Source organism: Homo sapiens, chromosome 12 (genome assembly GCF_000001405.40).
Source record: "Homo sapiens chromosome 12, GRCh38.p14 Primary Assembly".
NCBI lineage: Eukaryota > Metazoa > Chordata > Mammalia > Primates > Hominidae > Homo > Homo sapiens.
In genome coordinates, this window is record NC_000012.12 from 91,632,064 (window position 1) to 91,657,800 (window position 25,737).

The window sequence follows — 25,737 nt, forward strand, 5'->3', positions numbered from 1 at the left end:
AAAAGAAAACAATCATGTTATATTGATTAACCAGAAGAGTTGCCTTAGCCATGGAGCATGGATGCTGAGGACCAGAATCCCCAACTGACCAGCAAAGGATATGTAACACAAACAAGAATTAGACCTGTGCTGCTTTAAGCTATTGAGATTGTGGGCTGCTTGTTATTGCAGCATAATATCACCCATCCTAATTAATACAATTAATGCTCTAAATACAAGGACAGAGTCTGAAGAAACAAGCAAAGCATAGTGGTGATGATGAATTCTAATCACACAGAGGATTACACTAGGACAGAATAAGGCACAGAAGGACTTCAATTCATTTATCATGACCTCTGAAATGAGACACATACATTTTTAAACACCACCTTTTAACTGTTGCCAATACTTAAGCCTCAATCCCCTTGTCTCAAAATGTGAATAATTTGCTGTGAAAATCAGATAAAACAAAAAACTTCAGGCACTTAGCACAGAGCCTAGCACACAATCATAACTCAAACCGCAGTAGCTTTCATCCATCATTCGTGGGATGTCCATCTTAACAACATAACAGAGACACAGGTTGGAGCTAGAGCTGCCATAAGAAGGGATCAAATTTCTATTGTCAGACAAGGACTCATTTGTCTTTATCTTTTAGCCACTTTTAGAGTCTAGGCAGAAGTGGGACGTTGTGGGAGGGCTTGCTCCATACCCCATTTGTTATTTCCGATAAAATGATTATAACCTTTCATATGATCCACATTTCACAAGTAAGGAAGCCAAAGTTTCTTAGACAAAGTCAAAAGCCAGTAATCCACAACTATCAATTTCTTTTTTAAAAAATACAACATGGTGGAACATTTTTATTTGATGTCCGATCTCATCAGCTCAGAGGGAGAGTCATGATAACCTGCCTGAGAGGCTGGGACCCCTAAGAACTCACTGAAAAATCATGAGAAACATCTCTAGTCCACAGAGCTCCACCAGGGTGGCCACAGTTGTTTTTGGCCATGAGGAAAGAGAACATGTTGAAGAATAGCCTATCTTTATTTGACTGAATACTCCTACTGTTTGTGTGACATAAGAAAAGATTAAGTTTGCTCTGAGCAATGGGAAATTCTTAGATTCTTGTTGACTTCACTGCTCCATATGACTTGAAACAAACAGAACACCCTATACTAATCATAACAGACTCAGGAAGCCTGAGGAGGGGTGAATATTTTATATTTATATAACAAAAAACAAAGCAGTGGCAAATGGAAACCTACGTTAATAATAAGATAAAATGAATGTCATAATATTAGAATATACCACCTTCTACTAAGTTTAACAAGTGTCACGTGACTTCGAAGAGAAGATAGTAAGGAACAAAATGCTGTTGACAAATTCTGCTATATTACCATCATGCTTCATGAAAGCTGTTTTATAGAGTTTTCATTTTTTGCTGAATATTAATGAGACAAATATTTTTGGAATAGATTTGCTCCAGAAATATTGGGATAGATTCCTTAGATATCTAGGAGAAGAAATAAGAGATCAATATCAATTCATTCCCATCTACTAAAAAACATGTTTTCTTACTTCTCAAGGGGTCCTCTTAACAACTGTTTTGAACTTAGTAGCTTGAGCCTCTTTAAAACAGAATGAACTCTGCTACTGAGAATTTAAGATTATATCCCTACCTTGTTTATTTATAAAGCAGATCCCAGACAGTCATAGTGAGAGGTGACAGCATGCTGGCAGTCGTCGCAGCCCTCGCTCGCTCTTGGCGCCTCCTCGGCCTGGGCGCCCACTCTGGCCGCGCCTGAGGAGCCCTTCAGCCCGTCGCTGCACTGTGGGAGCCTCTTCCTGGGATGGCCGAGGCAGGAGCCAGCTCCCTCAGCCTGAGGGGAAGTGCGGAGGGAGAGGCACGGGCAGGAACCGGGGCTGCGCGTAGCCCTTGCGGGCCAGCTAGAGTTCCGGGTTGGCGTGGGTTTGGCGGGCCCCGCCTCCCTGGGCAATGAGGAGCTTAGCACCCGGACCAGCAGGGTTTAGCAACCGGGCCAGCAGCTGAGGAGGGTGCGCTGGGTCCCCCAGCAGTGCCAGCCTACCGGCGCTGCGCTCGATTTCTCGCGGGGCCTTAGGTGCCTCCCCGCGGGGCAGGGCTCCGGACCTGCAGCCCGCCATGCCTGAGCCTCTTCTCCCCTACCCCCACCCCGCCGTGGGCGCCTGCGCGCCAGAGCCTCCCCAGGATCGCCGCCCCCTGCTCCAGGGCGACTGGTCCCATCGACCGCCCAAGGGCTGAGGAGTGCAGGGGCACAGCGCAGGACTGGCGGCAGCTCCATCTGCCGCCCCAGGTGCGGGATCCACTGGGTGAAGCTATCTGGGCTCCTGAGTCTAATGGGGACTTGGAGAACGTTTATGTCTAGCTAAGGGATTGTAAATACACCAATCAGCACTCTGCATCTAGCTCAAGGTTTGTAAACACACCAGTCAGCACCCTGTGTCTAGCTCAGGGTTTGTGGATGCCCCAATCCGCACTCTGTATCTAGCTAATCTAGTGGGGACTTGGGGAATCTTTATGTCTAGCTAAGGGGTTGTGAATACACCAATCCGCACTCTGTATCTAGCTCAAGGTTTGTAAATGCACCAATCAGCACTCTGTGTCTAGCTCAGGGTTTGTAAATACACTAATCAGCACTCTGTATCTAGCTAATCTAGTGGGGACATGGAGAACTTTTGTGTCTAGCTCAGGGATTGTAAACGCACCAATCAGCACCCTGTCAAAACGGACCAATCATTTCTCTGTAAAATAGACCAATTGGCTCTGTAAAATGGACCAATCAGCAGGATGTGGGTGGGGCCAGATAACAGAATAAAAGCAGGCGGCCAGAGCCAGCAGTGCCAACCAGCTGGGGTCCCCTTCTGCCATGTAGAGGCTTTGTTCTTTCAGTCTTTGCAATAAATCTTTCTGCTGCTTGCTCTTTGGGTTCACACTGCCTTTCTGAGCTGTAAGGCAGTGAAGGTCTCATCACGAAAGTCTACAATTTCACTCCTGAAGTCATGGAGACCACGAACCTACAGGGAGGAACGAACAACTCCAGACAGGCCGCCTTAAGAGCTATAATTCTCACCGCGAAGGTCTGCAGCTTCACTCCTGAGACAGTGAGACCACAAACCCACTGGGAGGAACCAACAACTCCAGACGGGCCACCTTAAAAGCTGTAACACTCACTGCGAAGGTCCGCAGCTTCACTCCTGAGCCAGTGAGACAACGAACCCACCGGGAGGAACGAACAACTCCAGACGGGCCACCTTAAAAGCTGTAACACTCACCGCCAAGGTCCGCAGCTTCACTCCTGAGCCAGCGAGACCACGAACCAACCAGAAGGAAGAAACTCCGAACACATCCAAACATCAGAAGGAACAAACTCCAGACACGCCGCCTTTAAGAATTGTAACACTTACTGCGAGGGTCCGCGGCTTCATTCTTGAAGTCAGTGAGATCAAGTACCCACCAATTCCGGACACAATAGTACGTTTTTTTAAAAGTTTATATACAAAGAAATAAAATTATTTGTAAAAAAATAAAAACTTAGATATTGAAGTTATTGTGAAAGATGACACGTTACTTGTTATTGTGTATTTTTACACTAAAATTGAATTTAATTTTTATTTCTAATTTCGATATTACTGCAGATCTAGCGCTTATTTACTACAGAAAACAGACATTTGAATTCAAACGTGCTTTCTGAATTTAAGTATTTTTACACTAAAATTGAATTAAATTTTTATTTCTAATTCCGATATTACTACAGATCTAGCGCTTATTTACTACAGAAAACAGACATTTGAATTCAAACGTGCTTTCTGAATTTAAGTGTGTTTATGAGCAGCACATTTAGAGTCTCATTGGCATATTTAAAAGTATAGATTCTTTCCATCTAGAATTTAAAATAATTCAATATTTTTCTATGTCCCGAAAATTCCAAACTTTACTCCTTAAAACCCTTGAAATCCAAAAAATTACAAGTTGCTGAAAAAGGGGTGTCTTAAAATATTATAGTGTTGCCTAATTCTTATTTTTATCTCTTTTATGCTATGGGGTAGATTTTCTCCTATGAATTTGATCCTTAAGTTAATCAACCTACTATATACATACATATGCACACACATATATACTTACAATGTAGACATATTGTATGTATCACCTAGCTGTAATTATTCTATTTCAATAATATTTTTTAGGAAGCAGAACAAAAAGTTAATCATTACTCCCAGGTATTACTTGTTTCTGCATGCCACTGTTTTCTAATCTTTGAGAGTGCCTCAAATTTAAGTATATCATTCTGTCCAGTTTCTGTTTGCAATATTAACAAGAATTCTTTCTCTTTCTACTTAATGTATATATTTTAAAAAAAAAAATCCATGCAGATTTTGGTTAAAATGCCATTTTAGCAATGGAAGTCCTTCCTTTATTTTACTCATATCGTTCTAAAAAGGTTAGCAAAGTAATTACTTAAAAGAACTTGCAAACTTTAAGCTTTCTTAAAACTTAAAGCAAACTTTAATTTTGAGTTCACGGATTATATTGTGAACCACTTATTTAAATAAAAGTGTTTATATTTTTCCTAATAGAGTATCGCTTCTGACACTGAAAATGTTAATAATTGGTACACAGCTTTTAAAGCTTATTTGAAACAAAACACACTGATATAGTTTGCATGTGTGTGCCTGCCCACATCTTATGTCAAAATGTAATCCCTGATGTTGGAGGTGTGGCCTGGTGGGAGGTGATTGGCTCATGGAGGTGGTTTCTCATGAATGGTTTAGCACCATCCTCTTGGGTGCCCTCCTCTCAATAGTGAGTTCTCGAGAGACTTGTTATTTAAAAGTGTGTGGCACTTCCCCTCTCTCTCTCTTGCTCCTGCTCTGGCCATGTGATGTGACTGTTGCCCCTTCGCCTTCCACCATGATTGTGTCTTGAGGCATCCCCAGAAGCTAAGCTGATGCCAGCATCGTGTTTTCTGTGCAGCCTGTAGAACGATGAGCCAATTAAACCTCTTTTCTTCATAAATTACCCAGTCTCAGGTATTTCTTTACAGCAATTTGATAATAGACTAATAGATGCACAAATGTGTGTATGAACCATAGGCAAACACAAGATTTCCATGAAGTAAATATTTTCAAATGAACAATTATGCCTAGCGTTTTTTATTTGCACCCATATATTTTATGTCGTATAGAAAGTATGAAAGATAACACAGAGATGAAACTGCAATCACACAGTTAAAAACATGTAATTCTAGTCTGAAAAATTTTCCTCTTGGTCACAGTATATTCAAAAATAATACCAAAAAGATTAAAACTATTTTCAAGATGGCCCATTTCCAAGGGATTTTTTTTTTGAGAATTTTGGGGTTCTTGTCAATTGATCTGAAATAATTCTAAAGGCCCTCTATATTCCTATTTCTCCTTTCCCTGTTCCAACAGGGTGCTATGTACATAATTATGCAGTATTGCAATTACCCATTCTAATATCGATTTGATGTACTATATTGAAAACTTCATAAGCCTAGAAATATATTTTAATTGTGCTTTTACTCAGTGGTGTATTTATAATAAATGGGTTGCTATAGTAACATTATTTGATAGCTGGAGCAGATAATTTTTTAACAACCTCCCATTTGACCAAATTATTTTCAGTAATAGTGTAACAAATATATTTTATCTGTAAACTAAAATTTGTGCTTACCAACCAAAAATACTACACCTCAAAGTTTGCACTCTACTTTAAGAACAAATACAAATTCCAAGTGGCCCCATAGGATAAGAAGATTGTGGCAACTCAAGTTCCGTTTTTCATCTATATAATATGCTACCTTTGTTTGCTTAGAAACAGCTGTTTAAATGAAGGAATATTTATATATTATAAAAGCTGGACAGTAGTTGCAACACTGGTTTCAAATATTTATACTAACAAGATATTGGGGTAGGTAGAGTACTTTATGACTAATTTTGCTTACAATTGCCAGTATATAGCGATAATAAAAAAGAAGACTGACTTTTGGTTGCGTTTATGATTGTCTTCAAATTCTCTATGAACAACACACCCCCTAATTGCCTGCACCTGGGACAGACCATTCCTTACACCCTGACCTTGGCACACCTTGTATTGCTTTTATTCCCAGTGTCTAGACTGTGTCTTCTATATCATATAGGCTAAAAAATTTTTTTATGAATGGGTTATTAAGAAGTACGCTTATGCTTGTTATTTTATTTTTTCATAGACTTTTGGGAAATACTATTCGGCACAAGAATAACTAGAATATGGCTCTGGTTCTTGATATGATTGTTCTCTGTTACAACTAAAAGCCACAAAACCACGCGCTTTACTTCTCATAGTTTAAGAATCAAAAGGGCATCTAACACCAAGTGAGAATCACTTCTTACTGTAGTTTGTACAGCAGGCTTGGGCATCCCCCCAAATATATTTCAAAATGAAAACAAATATGATACTTATATTATACCATTAGTAGACTATCCAAAATGCTGTGCACATGGAATACATGTGAATTCCCTTCTGCTTGATTTATGATGCCGGCCACTTGGAAGAGCAAAGAGAGATAAAGGAGGTAAGAAGCCATCACATTACTATTACCAGACTTAACTAGTATTAGACTTAACCAGTCTAACCAAAATTAAAATAGTTTTTATTCATGTCATTGGAATAGTGAAGACTCATAAAAAAATGTATTGCTATCTATATTCTCTTGTTGACTGCAGAAAAAAAATTAAAAAAAACTTTAAGTATTTACTGCCAGATTGGTAACATAATATGTTTTACTGCATATTTCTTCATACCTGTTTTATAATATAAAAGCAAAACTGCTATTTTGAGCTTTCCCATGTCAGTTTGAACATTCTCTATTCCTTATAGTATTTAAGGTTTAAATCAAGAATAAGAAGTGTAGTCCGAAATTTTTTCAGGATTTAAGATGATAATGAAAAGTATATTTGGATGCTGTCTATTTTTTTCTCAGCAGAATACTCTGCCTCAATTTGATTTGTATATCATAGAGTGTATTCAGCAGAAAAAGAGAGGGTTACCAACAGACAGTTAATATTGCAGAATTTTTTAAATAAACATTAAGGTGGCTGCAATTATTTACTCTTTCAAGCAGCTGTCTTTTAACTAATGTTAATTAAATATTGATTAATAAACACAGCATGTACGTTTCTAGCAGAATCTCTGCAGACAGCTTAAATCATTCCCATTCATTTTTCCAGGGCCCTGGATAGGCATTGGCCTTCCACATTGAGTCTGGGCTTGGCCATGTGACTAGGTTTGGTCAATGGGATAGTAGCAAATGTGTCACAAGCTAAAAATTGCAAACTTTTTGTGTGTGCATTGACTATTGCTCTCCCTTGCTGCTTTGGTAAAACTGTCATCATCACTATATCAAGAAGCCCAGGCAAGCATGCTGGCTAATGAGAGATCAAGACCCTGTCATCCCAGACACTTCTGCTGCCGTGATCAACAGCCTGCTAACTGCCAGTATACGAGCTACCACCTGACTCCCCAGCTAGACACAGGTACATAACAGAGCGTGGCAGAGACCAGCCAGGCCTGCTTAGACCAGAAAAACTGTCTAGCTGACCCACAGAACTGTGGGCTAAATAAAATGATTGTTGTTGTTTTATTTGACTAAGTTTGGAAGTAGTTTGTTCCACAGTAAATATAACAAATACATTTTTAGAAAATTTCCAAACACACAGCCAATACTGCTGGAGCTAGCAATTTCATTCAAAGAGGAATTTGTTTCAAACTTAAGAATATTGACTATATAGGCACAAGATGTCTTTGTACAAGCACCTCTAATTGCTGTCCTTTTTCTAGTAAAACTACAGATACCACACCCTTTTTGGCAATATGATGAATGCAATGATGGTCAAAAGCTACCAACAGTCTTTGGGAAAATGAGCAGCATGAAACACGGATGTAATAGGAAACATCTATTGAATATTTATTAAGTGCTGGGCATTGAACTAAGTACTTCTCATTCATTATTACCTAATTTATCTTTTTAAATATGTTGTATTTTTAATCTCCATTTTAAAGACAAAAAATATACAGAATGACTAACTTATTAGCCCAAGGTTACCCAACTAATAAGTTGATGAATCAGGCTTCAAAAGCATGTTTGACTCAAAAGGCGTTTAAATATTTCTCAATCTGCAAAACATCTCACAGGTGTTACAAAGACTTAAGACTACTAGAGTTTAAAGATACTTTAGAAATATCTAACACTGCTTTTAAAAACGAGGAAGCAATGATCTAAAGAAAATAAATTCAAGATTTCACAGCAAGAGAGAGGCATAGTGGGAAGAATCTGCATTACAGGAAATTAGAGTCTTTAATTCTAACATGGTTAAGTATAATTCCTGGAGAGTGATAGTGGATTGATGGCAGGTGAGGATGGCAAGGATATAGAAACTATCCCATCGAAATTTTTGAGGCTGGCAGGTGAGTGTGGCAAGGATATAGAAACTATCCCATCGAAATTTTTGAGGCTGGCAGCTGCCAATTTCCCTGTTAATACGCCAGCATCACATGATTGTTTAGCTATGGAAAGCTCAAATTTCTTGGTTTTCTAACTTAAGAAATTTTCAAGGAGACAATTACATGAGCAGTTCCCTAAATATAGCAATATACTTTCTCTCATTTCCTTATTTGGGATAAAAACACCACTGGTATTTTGACTTGCAAGGCTAAGGCAAATTCAAACAAGATTCTCTTTAATCAATTCAATAAGACCTAGAGCCAGAATTAACTATTTTTAAAGGAAACACCTGAAAAGACTCTTTTAGTATTCAGGAAAATGAAATGTCAGTAACAATGTTTCGGCACAAGAATGTCTCCTATTAAAGAGTGTATGTAAGCTGTTCCTTATCTGACTTTCAATCACCTATCCTAGATTTCTGCCTTACCTCTGATTTTGTGTGTCCTTAACTTTTTTTATAATTGCATGGTCCCTATTTACACTATTATGTTGGGTAGTATAATTTCATTCAAACAGGTAGAAGAATTGCGTGATTTAGGAATTTCAACATTTAAAATGGAATTTTATTTCTGATCTTACCCACGACTTATATTATTTTGCATGCTGTGTTGAATATACCACGACTAAGGCATTGCTGGAATCAGAAGGTTACATTGTCTTTGGAACCATAAATATGTGACAACACCTTATGCTTAGGCACTGGGGAATCAAGTGTTAACCAACCACATTTATTCAGACTTTGGTTTGCTAACCTTATCAATCCCTTTAACAGTGAGGACTTCCATTATATAAAATAATGTGGCTTGCCCCACCCTGCCCTCTCCATTCTCTATTCCTCCAACTTTGTTCCATTTTTCTCTGTAGTACTATCGCCATCAGATATAAAACATACTTATTTAGTTGCTAATTGTTATCTCATGTAAATTCCATGAGGTCAGTGACACTTTCTATCACTGTTTTATCCTCAATGCCCAAAATGGTGCCTGACACATAGTAAGTGCTCAACAAATATTATTTGAATGGGTGCATTAATCCTCTTTCCACCTTTTCTATTTATAGAAAATATTGCAAAATTAGCCTTTTAAACTTCAGTTTCTGGAATAATCTGTTAAAAGTGTGAACTGTATTCTTCAGCTACCACTGGGTAGTCAAATTATCATCTTCTTATCTCTCGCCCCTCCACACTTATTTCTGGGGTTTCCCATGATATATGTTATGTGCAGTGTCTACTATATATATTTTCTACTATATGTATCTACTACGTATATGTCTACCATATGTATCTTCTATTGTTTTTTCTTTCCTATTTCCTTCCCTTTCCTTCCTTCCTTTTATTTTTCCCTCGCTCCCACCTTTCTTTCTCCTTCCCTCTAGTCTCCCTCTAATCTCAGCTATTGCCTTTGGTACCCACAGACAAGCTGCTACTACTAGGTGTTGCTATTTCTCCAGGTTCCTGCAATTCTCAGAATGGCCCTAGGTTCTTAAGACACACAACTTAGGCTTTATCTGGGCTTTTGGATGACTTCTCTACTTGAAGACATCTAGTGCACCAATTCAAATAGAATCCTTGTAGTTTTGATTGATGTTCTTATCATGTATCTTCAATCTAAGCAAGGGACACAATATAGGCTGACAAACTCCCACTGAATTTTCTCCTAAACTCCTGGGAGACAGTAGGCAGCAAATGAATATTAGTTTCTGTCCAGAATCTAGAATGGAATTACAGTTTATTATTGTGGATCTAAAAGGGATTTAATTATTATTCATTACAGTTTCCTAATTTAATGTATGAGAAAACTAACCCATAAGAGGCCAAGAGAGAAGCTTAAAGTCAGTGAGTAGTAGGAACAATGGTAGTTGAGACTAAATAAGGCAAAGTAAGCATGAAGGGGCAGCGATTTTGAAATATTAATCAATGTATGTCTGCATGTGTGTGTTTCTGTTTCTTGGAGTTTTCTTCTACCCTAGGCTCTTCCTCTATTTAGACAACACATACGTTCAACAATTATTTGACACAGAAAGGAAATTACATAGCAGAAACAAAAATGGAAAAAATTTATAGCTTTTGTGTTTTAAAAGCATAAAGTCTAGGCTTGGAAAATGGAAGATGTGTGTTCTTAGGCAAGATGTATGGGGGAATGTGCAAAGAATAAGAGAACAGGTCACCTCTCCTAAAACTAGGAAGATATCTTTGGTTACACAAGAAAGTTGAGAGACAGAAGAGAACTGGCCTAAGGGGAGGTCAGTGGGGCCTGAAATGAAGGAATAAGAGCTGGTGGGACCACACAAACAGGAGGAAAGTGAGTGTCCAGAGATGTAGGAGCACTGTTTGCCCCTCCTACCTTAGCACCTCCATGAGAAGAAATGCTTCCAATTCTCAATAGACACTAAAAGTGTTTGGGCTCAGAAACCACTTTGTCTGTCCTTTCTATTGACATCTAGATTTAACTGTAGACTTTGACCACTGACCACTAGGAGTTATGGTCATCCTTGATTCTTTTCTTCACCTGAATATCTACATGAAACCTTTTGGCAAACGTATCAGGTCTCTTTCATAAGCTCACCTCCACACCTGTCTACTTCCCTCCACTTTGTGCTTCAATTACTTTGGTGCAATCCACCCTCATATCTTACCTGGAATCCTATAATAGCCTCCTCACTAGTTTCCCAGTGGCCTACTTTTTCTTCTGTTCTTCTAAAATCTATGCTTTATGTAGCAGCCACAGTGATTGAAAAAATCAAAATGTAAAGCAGATTACTTCACTGCCTCCCATGGCTTTTCCTATCCTCACAGTAACATCTAACTGTGGGATCCTGGCTTATCAAGCTCTCTTTAGTCTAGCCCAATTTCCTTATCCCATACTCCCTGTCATCCTGGACTTTTCGATTCTTCAAAAATTTCAAGCTCTTCACATGTTGGGTGGTTTTTGTCTAACTCTTCCGTCTCAAAATGCACTTTCCTCTAATCTTTCCATAGCTACTTCCTTTTTATCATTCAGATCTCAGCTCAAATGTTCAGAATGGCCTTTCCTGATCACTAGATTTAAAGTAGTCAGTCATCCTCCATCACACAGTTCAGTCCTTTATACTGATACATATTATGGTTTATTGTTCGCTTGTGGTCTTTCTTCTTCATTCATGGAGTTGTAAAGTCCATGAGAGCAGATAACCTTTTTTTTTTTCTTTTTCAGTGCTAAGTCTTCATGCCTGGAATAATGTCTTGTAGACATAGAAGACAGAAGACAGTCAATTTGAGAGTGGATGGTGAAGGAATAGGTGGCTGAATCTTTGCACATTGTTAGGATATCATCTGGCTCATTATTTTCAGTGTCTCTGGACACTGATAAGCACTTTCTAAGAACGCTGCTGGAAGGGTAGGAGAGGTTTGGAGGGGATCTCCTCTCATTACACCATTCGCCCATACACAGTACACACATGTATTAACTGATATCAGAAGAAAGCAGCTGAAGATCTGCTTCCAGATGTCTCAGTGGGGAAACACAGTCCCAATGCAGAATAAAAACCCCATTGAGCATAGGTACAGCCCAATAAATGGTAGTTACTTTTCCCCCCAAAGACTTTTTTTTAAAATCAGTTGTAGGGTCACAAGAAATGAGCAGGAAGTATAGAGTTTCCATATACCCCTTCCCCTGCCAACCTCCTCCACTACCAACATCCTCATTAGAGAGGTACATTTGTTACAACTGACGAACCTACATTGACACATCATTACCACCCAAAGTCCATAGTTTACATTACAGCTCACTCTTAGGGTTGTACATTCTATGGGTTTGGACAAATATATGACTACATGTATCCACCATTGCAGTATCACACAGGATAGTTTCACTGCCCTAAAAATCTCCCTTGCTCCACTTTTTTTGCCTTTCCTCCTAACCTCAGGTAACCACTGATCCTTTTACTATCTCCACAGTTTTGCCTTTCCCAGAATGTCATATAGTTGGAATCATACAGTATGTAGACATTTTCAGATTGGCTTCTTTCATTTAGCAATAATGCATTGAAGTTTCTTCCTTGTCTTTTCATGGCTTTATAAAGTTATAGAGTTATAACTCATTTATTTTTAGTACTGAATAACAGCTCCTTGTTTTGATGTACCACAGTTTATGTATCCATTCCTCTTCTGAAGGACATCTTGCTTGCTTCCAGCAATTATAAATAAACATCCATATGCAGGTTTTTATGTGTATAGTTGCCTTTTTAAATTTGTTTTTGAATTATTTGCTTAAACTCAGAGGCAAAAACATATAATCCCTCACATTTTGGAGTTAGACAACTTCTGCCCAGTGCTGCCAATTATTGGTCATATAATCTCAAGCAATTTATTTTTTCTTTCTTGACTTTGCATGATCAAGCATCTGCATAAGGAAGAAACTAGAACCATGGTTAAGAAGGTTTTTCTGAAATTAGAAGAAGTAATGCTTAAAAAGTAATGACAGGTGTCATGTATGATCACTGGCTAGAACAGTTATAAGAAGTTATCATGAATGATAAAAATTACCACTGAAAATAGTTATCGGTAATGCTAACATTAGCATTGTTATTAATTACTAATATTAAAATTATTATTTTAATGCTAATAGTTGTTACAAGTGATAATAGCTATTAATTGTTATAGTTAACATTAATGATAATATTTGTAAGTCCTTAAGATGTACTAGTCAACATTCTCAGTGCTGTCCATGTAGTAACTCTTCACTCTTACTGTAAGTGGTTGGTTCTATGTATTATACAGGTGAGGAAATTAAGACCCAAAGAGTCTAAGTAACTTCTCTAAAGTTCTAAAACTAGTAATTTGCCAGAGCTGGAATTTGAATCTGCCTCTAAAATCTGTGCTTTTAGTAGAGAATATAATTCATAATAAATATTAAATTAGTTTTAAACCCTATTGTATCATTTACTTATTTATTTATTCCTTTGGACATTTTTAAGTGTATGTATAACCTTTTTATATAGCTTTTGTCATATTTAGTACCAGGAAATATCTTTTTAATATCACAACAAAATATCAAGTATAAAATGGCAGTGTCTATTTGAAGTCTTTAGTTACTTAAAACTAGAAAGAAGTAAGGCTTTTTTGGGGGAGTGGGGAGTAGCTTAAATCTAAACCCTTGATAATCATGTGAGCAATGTAAGCTACATAAGTAGCTAGGCTCCCTCAGTTCTGCCATCCAAGAACAAAGCTCAATGTCACTGGCAATTGTAAAACTGCCATTTTCATTTTAGGGTATAATTTTTGATCTGTGCATTGGTATCTTCTAAATCTGAGAATCCCAACGATCACAGAAGTGAGAGAAGTTAAGCTGCAGCTGCAATATCTCACCAAATTAATTCTCTTTCACAGATTTAGACTCAGTGGCCTCTGTTAAGAGCATGTTGTGTCCGGTATTTGTCTCATTATTTTCAAATTGTGCTTTAGAAAATGCATCTGGGCATTTTGTGGCTCCTCACGAAGGGAAAAGATATAATTTGCTGGGCTGATGTGACACAGTGGGAAGATGGACCACATTCTCTACCAATTTCAAAGGATGATGGCAATAAAGCTTTTTATGAGCTTTAGCTATCCTGCACTGCAATGATCAGCTTCCGTCCTAGTAAAGAATATTGTTACACATGGTTCTAATAAAAAATAAAGCTACAGGCAGTTCAAGGTCGGAGTGGAGATGGGGTTTACAGAAGAGAAGAGAGACATCTTTCTGAATTTCATAACATTTAAAATATAAAACCCTAGAAATTAGAAAACCAAGAGCCTTTTCTTATTCTTTATTCAATAGAGTAATCAGGCATACAGACATTTAATGTACCTCCAGATTTTGGCTGATTTTCCAGGATATGCTGGCTTCAAATAGTCAAATATTCTTTCTAGTTGTCTCCATCCATTTTAACCACATGTTGATTTTTTGTTCCAAAAATATGCTGTATACCTCGTACGCACAGTTAAAAAAGATTAAGATGTATTTGGTTTATAATCATCACTATTTTGTATCTAACAGAAGATCAAGCATATATATATATATATATATATATATGCCCATCTTTATAATGTGAAACTGAAGACTCAGAATGTGAATAGTATTTGCCTTCTTGAATATGGTTCTTTGAAAATACAGACAGGCCTCAAAGACACTGGACAGTGGGAGGGATAAAGCTATTTCAGTCTGCAACACATTGGAAGAAGTAAAAATATGATTCTTAAATTATGCATTATTTCTTTTAATGCAGTGAAAGATAACATGTGGTACGCAGAAATTAACAAAACAGGAAAGAAAACGGCATTTTACATGATGATTATTCCTTTACAAATATGGAAAATATTTTTCAACATTTGAGACACATGAAAATATACTTTATCTCTAAGGAAATTTTTGTGTAGTTACCTATCTTTTGGTTTTCAGACATTAGTGTGCTAATAACAACTTGAGATGTTGGTTTAAAATGTAGATTTCTGAGTTTGGTTCTAGGATATCTGACCTGCTAGGTCTGGGGAAGGGCCTTAGGATCGTGCCTTTTTAGCAAGTACCCTTGACCCTGCTTAGGGAAATACTACCCATATCTATATTTTCCACCTGTGGAAAGAAATCTCACTGTCACAGAACACCCATTGTGTGTCACTTTTACAAATGATCTGTATTTTTACTCTTTACGCCAGTCTTTTGAGTTAAGTATTATTACACACATTTTATTGACAAGCTAATTGAGGTGGAAGGAAGATGTTTCTCATGATTACAACTTACAACAATTACAGAGTGGACTTCAAGTTCAAACAGAGTTTGATGAGTCCAAAGACCCTGATCTTTCCTATGTACTATCTATCATGATAAAGACACATTTAAAATCAAAACTAAAATTAAAGCTTTTTTCCTACTTTGGAGAGAAAAACATTAAAGAATAAAACAAAATGTGAAGAGAATTACAATATTTTTAAAGATTTCTTCTAAATTCTCATCAGAAAATCACAAACCATTGCAAGGAAAAGATTAAGCATTACATTAAGAGAGTAGTTTAAAATGAGAAAACAAATTACATTTTCTGTAAGTTGGTGCAGAAGTAATTGCAGTTTTTGCCATTAGTTTTAACGGCAAAAGAAAAGAAGGAAAAGAAAACCAGGAAAAGAAGAGTAAACTCAATGCCACAACCACTTGGAACTTAATTCTTCCAATAGCTATATGAAGTTAAAACAGGATCCCAAGCTCCAGAAAATAGCACAGCCCAGCAGATATTTTGATTTCAGCCTGATGAGACACTGAGCAGAGAATCTGCCTCAGCCATTGGCTAGACTTCTGACCTGTGAAACCATGAGAGAATATGTCTGAATTGTTTCAAACCTCTATGTCTTCTTTGTAATTTGTAACACATGAAATAAAAAAAAAAACTAATACAAGTACCTACTATATGCCAATGCTAATATAAGCACAAGAGCACAGCAATGAATGTGATAGACCAAAATCTTTGCTGTAGTGGACCTAAGATTGTAATGGAGTGAAGGTAACAATACAATTGTGAGACAGAATAAAGGTATACATAGGTATTCAAGAGTGGCAAGAAGTGCTACAAAGAAAGTAAAACAGGATGAGCTGGATATTGGCTTGGTGGGGACTGGGAACTTTATCACAATAAGAGCAGGAGGAGGCCAAGAAGTGGAAAGGAAGAGGAAGGTGGAAATTTTGTAACTAGTTAGAAAGCCAAAAAAATCGACCTGATGTTTTTAATAAATTAGTAGAACAGAGGAAATTGAACTTTAAAGCTTTAGCCAAAGTGATCAGAGAACAACTGTCTGAAGAGATAAGAGATGTACCAAGGACAAAATGATGAAAAGAAAGCAGCACATAAAGACTGGAGTTTGGATCTTATTATAAACCCTTTGAAGAGTTGTAGACTGGAGGAACGGTGTTTATCTGAGTTACACTTTGAAACGATGTCTCAGTGGAGAATGAATTGAAGGGGTCAGGTGTCAGGGGCAAGTGTGGAATCATCCAAGTGGAATACTGTTCATTGCAAAGATTTTGCCATCACTCAGAAAAGATCGCAAAGGATTAGATTGAAGAGATAATCACCAGGCTTGGAAGAGGGATTCCACCTAATGTTGTCATAAATCACATATCATAGACTCTTTCTTTCATAATTTATAGTACAGAAATTTTTCTGTAGGGTATTTCCAAATCCAAATAATGCAGAATTTTATCACAGTAACAGCAGGAGGAGGGCAAGATGGGGAAAGGAAGAGGAAGGTGGAAATTTCGGTAACTGGTTAGAAAGCCAAAAAAATTGACCTGATGTTTTTAATAAATTAGTAGATCACAGGAAATTGGGCTTTAAAGTTTTACGTGCTTAAAATATTTCTAAAGATTATCCAAAGCCACGTTCAAAGCCTGGTAATCATTTTTTTTTTCCTAACGATAGATCACAAGAATTCAGTTAACGTTTTTTGTTTTGCCAAGGACATAAATGTTGAAACTATACTGTGAATCCTGCTTAGTTCAAAATTAACTTATTACAATCAGTATAAGTGTTAGACTCTAACAATTGGGGGCTCATTAACATATATTCTTCTTTATTACATGGACAGTGTTCTACAATGAAAAAAATGTAGATATGGCATATATTTAAATGTGAGCATTTTCCTCTACATATCAACCTCTCAGACTAATAGTAAAAAATAACAATTTGCACAGAAAAGTAAACCTAAGAAATTTTCTTCAGAATTAATTAACTCCAACATGCAAAATTTAATACATGCTTTCAAATAAAATTCCCAGCTCTAATTAGTCCCACAGAGAGAGAGACAGAGAGATTATAATGGAGTAGAATAAAATTTTCTTCTCTCACTCATTGTTTTCGTCTATCTTTCTATTTTCATCCTCTGGGAAAGCTGAATTTAACAATTAGAAAAAAAAATATAATCGCACATTTAGAACACCAGTGATATCATGAACTTTAAAAGAATTTGAGTTTTACACAATCAAATCAACATTCTTAATCTTCCAGCTAGTTAGTCTGCTTTCCATTAGACCACAAATATGGGGATCCCTAATCTTTGAGAGTATTAATGTTACATTGGCCATTGACGAGAACTTTTGTTTTTAATGCCTAAGATTCTGACCAGTTTTAGTGAAATTCTTAACAAAGTTAAATTTGCCCTGTTCTGAATTGAAGATTAGTTTAGGCAAACGTATTATTCATGGAAAGCAATTTTTGTATTAAGATAGTAGGCATTGACTAAAATGACTAAATTCCCTTTACTCCTTCCAGAAGGAATTGTCTTATCTCCATATTTAATTGACAACAACAGCGAACAAACAAACAAACAAAAATTATGGCCATATTACTCTTCTCAGGAATAATGGCTGAGTGGCAGGAGTAGTAATAAGAGTGGTAGTAATAGCTTAGGGTTTTTCTCCCTCAGCCCAAATGACATTTTGGGCCAGATACTTCTTTGTTGTGAGAGATGCCTTGTGCATTGTAGGATATTTAGCAGAATCTATGGCCCATATCCAGTAGATTCCCCCCAAGTTGTGACAATCAAAAATGACTCCAGAAATGAACCAATTTTGCTCCCCTGGTAAAGCAAAATTAATGCCTCATTGAGAACCACTAGTCCTAGCTCATATTTGTTCAGAACTGACTATGTCCTAAGTGAAGTGTGGCAGTATATGCAATCCCCAAAATATTGTTTTGATCTAAAGGCACTTAAAAAACAGCAGGTATAAGAAGGGCCCCTATGACCTCCCCTGCTTTTCCTGAAAACAAACAAACAAGCAAAAAACACATATGGAAGATGTTCTCCTTATACCAGGAGGAGAGTCACATTCTTGTCATCCAAGGACTAGAAACTGAGGCTGAGAGAAGTCTGTGCAAACCAGCCTTGCAAACTAACCCACTCCTTTCCAGTCACTTCTCCACAATTAACTGCCCTAGTCCAAGTCCCCTTGCCTTGCAAAATTTTCATAACTTACTGCACTTTGTCCAACTCAGTATATAAGTGTTCAACTGTAACTGCTTATTTGGGTCTTCATTTTCTTATGGGGGCTCCTGTGCCATGTAAAACTTTTATTAAATAATTCTGCATGCTCTTCTCTTGTTAATAGGTCTCAGGTCACTTTAACTTACAGGCCTACCAAAAACCCTAGGAGGATAGAGGTAAAATTTTGCCTACGCTACATAAGTAAAGTTTAAGCACGTTTACAAGTATAAATTAACTTAATCCTCAAAATCTTTTTATAATGGAAATATTTTTATTAACTCCATTTTAAAAATTGCGGAAATTGGGGCACAGGAGTTAGCTTCTTGTGGCTACACAGCTGACATGCATTTAGTAGAGCTGGGATTTAGACCCAGACAATCTGGTACACTTTGTAGAGGGAAGCTATAATCACTCATTCATTTAATACATGGAATTGATTGAGTTTAACATGTAGAATATGAAGAAGGAAAATAAGTTAGAAAAAAGTGAATAAGTCTTGATTCTTGTCTTCAACTTACTCATAGTTTAATAGCAAATGCTAGGAAGGGCTGTTGGTGTTTAAGTATGTAACAATGGGGTGTTAAGTCTTCCTCACTCTTCTGGCTCTTCATCCAACATAATTCCCTTCTTGGTCATTTTCCAGCCCCAGCTAAACTATCTGGCAGTAAATCCCTGAATAGATGCTACCTGATGGTTAAAACATTAGCTAAATGGCAGTCAAGAATACCATTCCTTGCTAGTAGTATTTGCCATTCAGTAAGAAAAGTATATGGAATCGATGACTTTCACATTCTACAAGAATCAATCTTATATCTGTGGAATGAAGGGTAAATCTTTGCAAAGAGAAATACTGAGATTTGTGAAATGAACTTTATAAATCTTTAGACTGAGTTTCACTTGTAGCACTACCCAAGCTAACTAGATAACTGGGAGCATTTAGGCATCTGTCTCAGGATGTAAATTTAGAGGATAGGATTAAATAATATGTAAAATCAAGTCCAGTTCAAATACTCTGTGGATCTCTGGATTATACAAGTAAAAGACATACTTACCTGGATTATCCCACATTTATCTGGGAATAAGTAGTTACATAAATGTTGGAGTTGGTTTTAGAATTTACAGATTGTGGAGAATTTGTTTTATGATTTAAAGATTCGAAAAGGCTGTATGGCTATTTTTCAGTCTTCTTCTGTAGGCCAATAAGATGAATATAATTTGAGGACACTTAGTTAATGACAGCTCAATGTTAATTTTAACAGCTTCTGAGGGCATGTTACATAGTCTGTGAAGCAGTTTATATGCTTGGTATATTTTAGTACAGTACTTTAGAGCTATTTTTACAAGCAATTTGATATCTCCCTTATGTTTTGAATGAGGAAACAACAGAGGAACAACAACTCCAGTGTCTAGCTTGAGGTCAACTAGCAAAGGAGAGAGAAGAATGCAATCAAACTTACAGACCAAGCACATTTCAAGAGTCATTTTTTTCAAAAACAATAGGACAAAAAATTATTCTCTGGGCTTTATTTTATCAAACTTATGAAGCAATTGATTTGCCAATTTACATTCATTTTGTTAAGCCCATTAAAATTTATTATAACCATAATCAAAATAAGAAAAGACAATAATAAACCAGTCCATTTACTTTTTAATCAATTCTGTAGACAAATTAAATTTAAAATTCTCCATGAACTGCCATTTTAAGAGACATATCCAAAGAACACGAAGAATAAAGACAATCCTCTAATTCATTTCATTTCTCTTTCATGCACTGAAAACTTATATTTGAATAAAGGCAGACAAACAAAATATATCATGGTTCAGCAGGACATCTAATCTGTGGAAAATGCTATAGGAAAAAATACTTTCTTTTTAAATGTGTAGAACTCAGTTTCTCAAATATATTTAGATTGTGGCCAAAGTTATTGAATACCCTGTAATAATGGTTTTGAAAAAAGAAAAAGAGACTCTTTTTATTTAAAGTTTGGGTAATGCTACCATTTCTATTTTATTGTTTTCTAAGATAATTTTATCCTCAATTTGATATATTGCTTGTTAAAGTAAAATAGTATGTAATATTATTATGACTTATACCTCTTGATGTATCTATATTTGTGTACAAATATATATTTGTGTGTATATACACGTTTTATGACAAAATGTTTTAGTCTTGATAATAACTTTTCAGAACTCCAATATAATAGCTACTTAATATGAAAAAGACATGCATATTAGTTTCCTGTGCTTGCTGTAACAAATTACCACAAATTTCATGAATTAAACCAGCATGAGATTATTACCTTAACTTTCTGGAGGTCAGAAGTCCAAAAGTGGGTCCTACAGGAATAAAAGCAAGGAGTCAGGGGACTGTGTTTATTCTGGAGACTCTAGAGGTCCCAGCCCTTATCTTTTCCAGCTTCTAGAAACATCCTCTACTTTTTGGCTCCTGGCCCCTTGCAGGAATGCCACCTCTCTCTCCTCTGCTTCCCTTGTCACATTTCCTTTTCTGACTCTGACCCTTCCACCTTGCTCTTACAAAAAACCTCATGTATACCTACCTAACAAACCTGCAGGTTCTGCACATGTATCCTGGAACTTAAAGTAAAATACAAAAAGTTAAAAAAAAAAAAAAAAAAAAACGTTGGCCAGGCGCAGCGGCCTCACGCCTGTAATCCCAGTATTTGGGGAGGCTGAGGCGGGTGGATCATCTGAGGTCAGGAGTTTGAGACTAGCCTGGCCAACATGGCGAAACCCTGTCTGTGCTAATAATACAAAATAATAAGTTGGGCTTGGTGGCACACGCCTGTAATCCCAGCTACTCAGGAGGCTGAGGCAGGAGAATTGCTTGAACCTGGGAGGCAGAGGTGAGAACCGAGGTCGCACCACTGCACTCCAGCCTGGGCGATAAGACCAAAACTCCATCTCCAAACAAAACAAAACAAAACAAAACAAACAAACAAACAAAAAGAGTTAGAAAAAAAAAAAACCCTCATCTGATTCCATTGGCCTACCCAGATATTCTAAAATAATCTTCCCATCTGAAGATCCTTAATCACATCTGCAGTGCCATGTACAGTAACATAGTGACAAGTTTGGGGGATTAGGACCTGAACACCTTGGGGGAGATGTATTATTTTGCCTACCACAAAACCTCTGCCATACTATTTTCTATTTATTATGTGTGTTGGTGTGTAGGATTTGAAGACATATTTAACTGTGTATAGTTCATGCTGGAGAAGACAATATAAAACATAAAGTATGGCAATGAAAAGAATGTGTAAATTTTCAATTAAGATTGGTTTATTTTTTCTAAATTTCTTCTGTGAAAAATGTTATATTGATCTAGAAAAGATATCATCTCACACAGGATATACTGCAACCCTAAAATCTTCAAAGGCCATTATAAAAGTACCTTGCCAAATCTTACACCTGGAAAAAAGTTATTCAAAGACTGGTATGAGATGTGTTGACAAATAATTAAAATAATTAAGGGGGAAGATTCTTTCTATTTGGGACACTTGCAATTGTGCTCTAAGCTATATTATCGATATTGTGAGAGCTACTATGTTAATAATAAAGATCAATGATGAATTCTTACTATGTGTTAACAGCCATACTACACCCTTTACATGCATATGCTTATTTTGTGCGATGTGCATTTTTATGATCCCACTTTGTAGATGAAGAAACTGAGGTTTCAGTTGCCTCAGCTATTACACAACTTTCTTGTTATTACATAAGTTGTGCTAGTATTCCAAGTCAGTTCTGTTTATAAGCATATGATAAAACAAAATGGCTTCAGTTAGTACAAAATGCTCATCATAAAAAGTACTGATATTTCCCAGTTGGGCGTGGTGGCTTATGTCTGTAATTCCAGCACTTTGGGAGGCTGAGGTGGGTGGATCACTTGAGGTCAGGAGTTCGAGACTAGCCTGGCCAACATGGTGAAACCCCCTCTCCACTAAAAATACAAGAATTAGCCCAGCATGGTGGCGGGCACCTGTAATCCCACCTACTCAAGAGGCTGAGGCAGGAGAATTGCTTGAACCCGGGAGGCGGAGGTTGCAGTGAGCTGAGATCATGCCACTACACTCCAGCCTGGGCGATAGAGGGAGACTCCCTCTCAAAAAAAAAAAAAAAAAGAAAGGAAAAAAAGTAACGATATTTCCCAACTGCTCAGTAACTATTGTTTTTCATGTACCTTTCATAATATCCCTGGGAAATTTAGATTATACTTTTCATCTTTTAAAGTAGAAACTTGTGATCTAGCAATTTTATTTCAATCATTCTCCCATTTTTTAACTTTCTAAGTAGTAGCATATAATGTATGAAAATAATGAACTAAACTTCAAGTCAGATCCTAATAATAAAAAATGTGTTTTTTCTTTGAACCTATGGTAGATATTTTGATCTCTTCTTAAATTTTGAAACTGGTCACATGTTCAGGAAAGACCATTGATTTTGGAGAAAGTACAGATTATATTTGTATCTGTATTTTGCAAATTACTCTCTGTGGGAAATAATTAACTTCCCAGAGCCTTGGATTCCTTATCTTTAAAATGGGGAAAACAACACTGGCACCATGGATTGTTATAAACTCTCAAAAAAGCTAGATCCATTCTCTAATGGAGTATTATTTTTACAACATTCTCAAAAGGTAGAACTCTCCTCTTTTCCTTGATTATTTTGCTATTTATAAAGATATTCTGAAGCCTGTGGGGCTGAGTATGGAGGAAAGCTACATTTTCTTTTATTGTGTTGAGCAAATAGTTTCCCAACTCCTGTTTTTTTTTCTGTTTCTTTTTTTTTAAACAAACAAAAACACTACATTCTTGGTTGCTTTGAGCAGGGCTGGTTATTATTTCATTATAAATCAATCGAACATTTTCACAATGACCAAATTACAATGGGATTCATTAGGAATTTTCAAGTTTGCCACTGTTCTTTGCATTCTCTCTTTCTCCCTTCCAAGAGATGCCAACATACTTACTGCGAATAAAAAGCCAACATGTCTCTGATTAGTCGAGTCCAATACTATGAAGAACATATAAAAGACCAATAATAAATAACCTTTTTAAAATGCTGCTTTTTTGAGATAATGCAGCTTCATGTTTTAACAAACCCAACCTGGAGTAATAAAGGTCTCTTCTGACACCCAAGACTAGCAGTAACTTGATTCCATCGAGGTCCAACTCTAAGTGGGTGTCAAGGCAGGAAGGACAACATTCATAGCAGTAATTTTAGAAATATTTTATTTAATTTCGAAACCCTTCTAGACACATTTACTTCATCTCCCATTTGCTTGGTGTGGAAAACCAATTACTTCGTGGTGATGATGCAGTCAAATCTGTAAACAGTTATTACATTTCAATTAGAGCTGCATGAAGCTATATATTTGGCTCGCAAGAAATTAATGCAAATCTTTTTTGATATTTCAATACACAAGGGGTCATACCCCTACACATTTGGCTTTCAGTGTAACATTCAGAGCCATTCAAATATCAAAGACTATTTTCCCAGCATAAAACATCTGGCCTGGAGTTAAAATCTCCTATAGCATTCATCTGTATTTAAACTCCCACCTACAAACTACACCAGAAACTTTGCCAAAAGACGTCAACTTAGACCGGCTTTTTACTATAAAAGAAAATTTCTGGTGAATCTTTTACTATAAAACATAAACTTGATCACATTTGTGGTCTTGGTTGAACACTCATAAATCATTGAAACACAAACAAGAGTTTTTCATCATTGATAACAGGAATTACAGTGAGATGGAAGGATGAGAATAAGGAAACAAATACTTACTGAACACTTTCTATGTTCTAGTTACTGTTCTTGTATTATCTTACTAAATTCTTTCATTAGCACTGTGAGGCTATTTACCACCATTCTCCATCTAAGAACATTCAGATTCAGATTAAGAAACTTGTCTCGATCACATAGGTAGGTGGTGGTACTGGGAATGAAGCCAGATCTCTCTACTTCCAAAGCCTATGATGATTATCCTGTCTCCCATTGTGCATAGATTTGAGGAATATAGTTAATGTTTATAATTACAGTTGACCACTGAACAACATGGGTTTGAACTGTGTTGGTCCAATTATATGTGGATTTTCTTCAGCCTCTGCCATCTCTGAAACAGCAGGACCAACCCCTCCTCCTCATTCCCAGGCTACTGAACATGACGACCATAAGGATAAAGACCTTTATGATGATTCATTTCCACTTAATGAATAGTAAACATATTATCTCTTCCTTATGATTTTCCTAAGAAAATTTTATTTTCTCTAGCTTACTTCATTGTGAGAATACAATATATAATACATACAACATACAAAATATGTATTGACTGCTTATGTTATAGGTAAGGCTTCTGGTCAACAATAGGCTATTAGTAGCTAAGTTTAAGGGGAAGCAAAAGGTATACATAGGTTTTCTTGATTTTTCCATTGACCATTGCTTATCATAAATGCCTTTCAGAAGAACTGGGTTGGCCTGTCAACTCTTTACACAAGTACCTCTGATCCTCTTTAAAATCTCCATGTTACTTGAGGAAAAACGGAAGCTACAAAAGTCAAACGATAAAGGAATTATTCTCTTCATTCCCAAGATGTGTTACATATGGTGGCAGTGGGGGGTGGGGAAGTGGGGAAGGAGAGAAAGCGTGCAGGCTGAATTTATTGAGGAGGACTTCACACTTCCATCAGTTACCATGAAAAATAACATATGGACTGAACATTTATTCCAAGGAACAGATTTGTTTCTAGTTACTCTCCAGCAGTTGAAAGAGAAAGAAAAAAAAAAACATTTTAAAAGCCATCTGAAAATACTCACCAAATGAGAGAAATAAGGTTGATCCCTTTTCAGACTGCAGAATTAACATTAAGAAAAATGAGTCATAACAATTCAATTTAAATGTATTGACTGAGCTACTATTATCATGAATCGACTTCTCCACTAGGGATGATGTGGTGCCTGTTCGCAAAAGTTTAAGTTCTAATTTTTTGGAGAAAAAGTGTCTTGCTGTATTTTTTTTCTGTTTTCAAATTATTTCCTTTCATTTATTTTCATCATTATCTTATACTTCGTCAGCCTTTTCAGTACCATGACAAAAATACCCCCAAAATTTATATCAGCAAATGGGGACACCTTCCTGTACCCCATCATTTGTATACAATCAATCATTTGCTTCATGTCACCCCAGCTACTGGTTTGAGTCTGGAACTATTC

General features: G+C 36.7%; 1 long non-coding RNA gene across 1 annotated transcript in view; it reads right to left on the minus strand.

Annotated features, from left to right (window-relative positions):
• The window catches only part of LOC105369896 (uncharacterized), a 361,170-nt gene extending 355,839 nt beyond the window's left edge, over positions 1 to 5,331 (minus strand). The window contains exon 1 of the long non-coding RNA XR_001749251.2: positions 1,662 to 5,331. This is a non-coding gene — a long non-coding RNA (uncharacterized LOC105369896). The remainder of the gene's footprint in view (positions 1 to 1,661) is intronic.
• Positions 5,332 to 25,737: the final 20,406 nt, after the last annotated feature.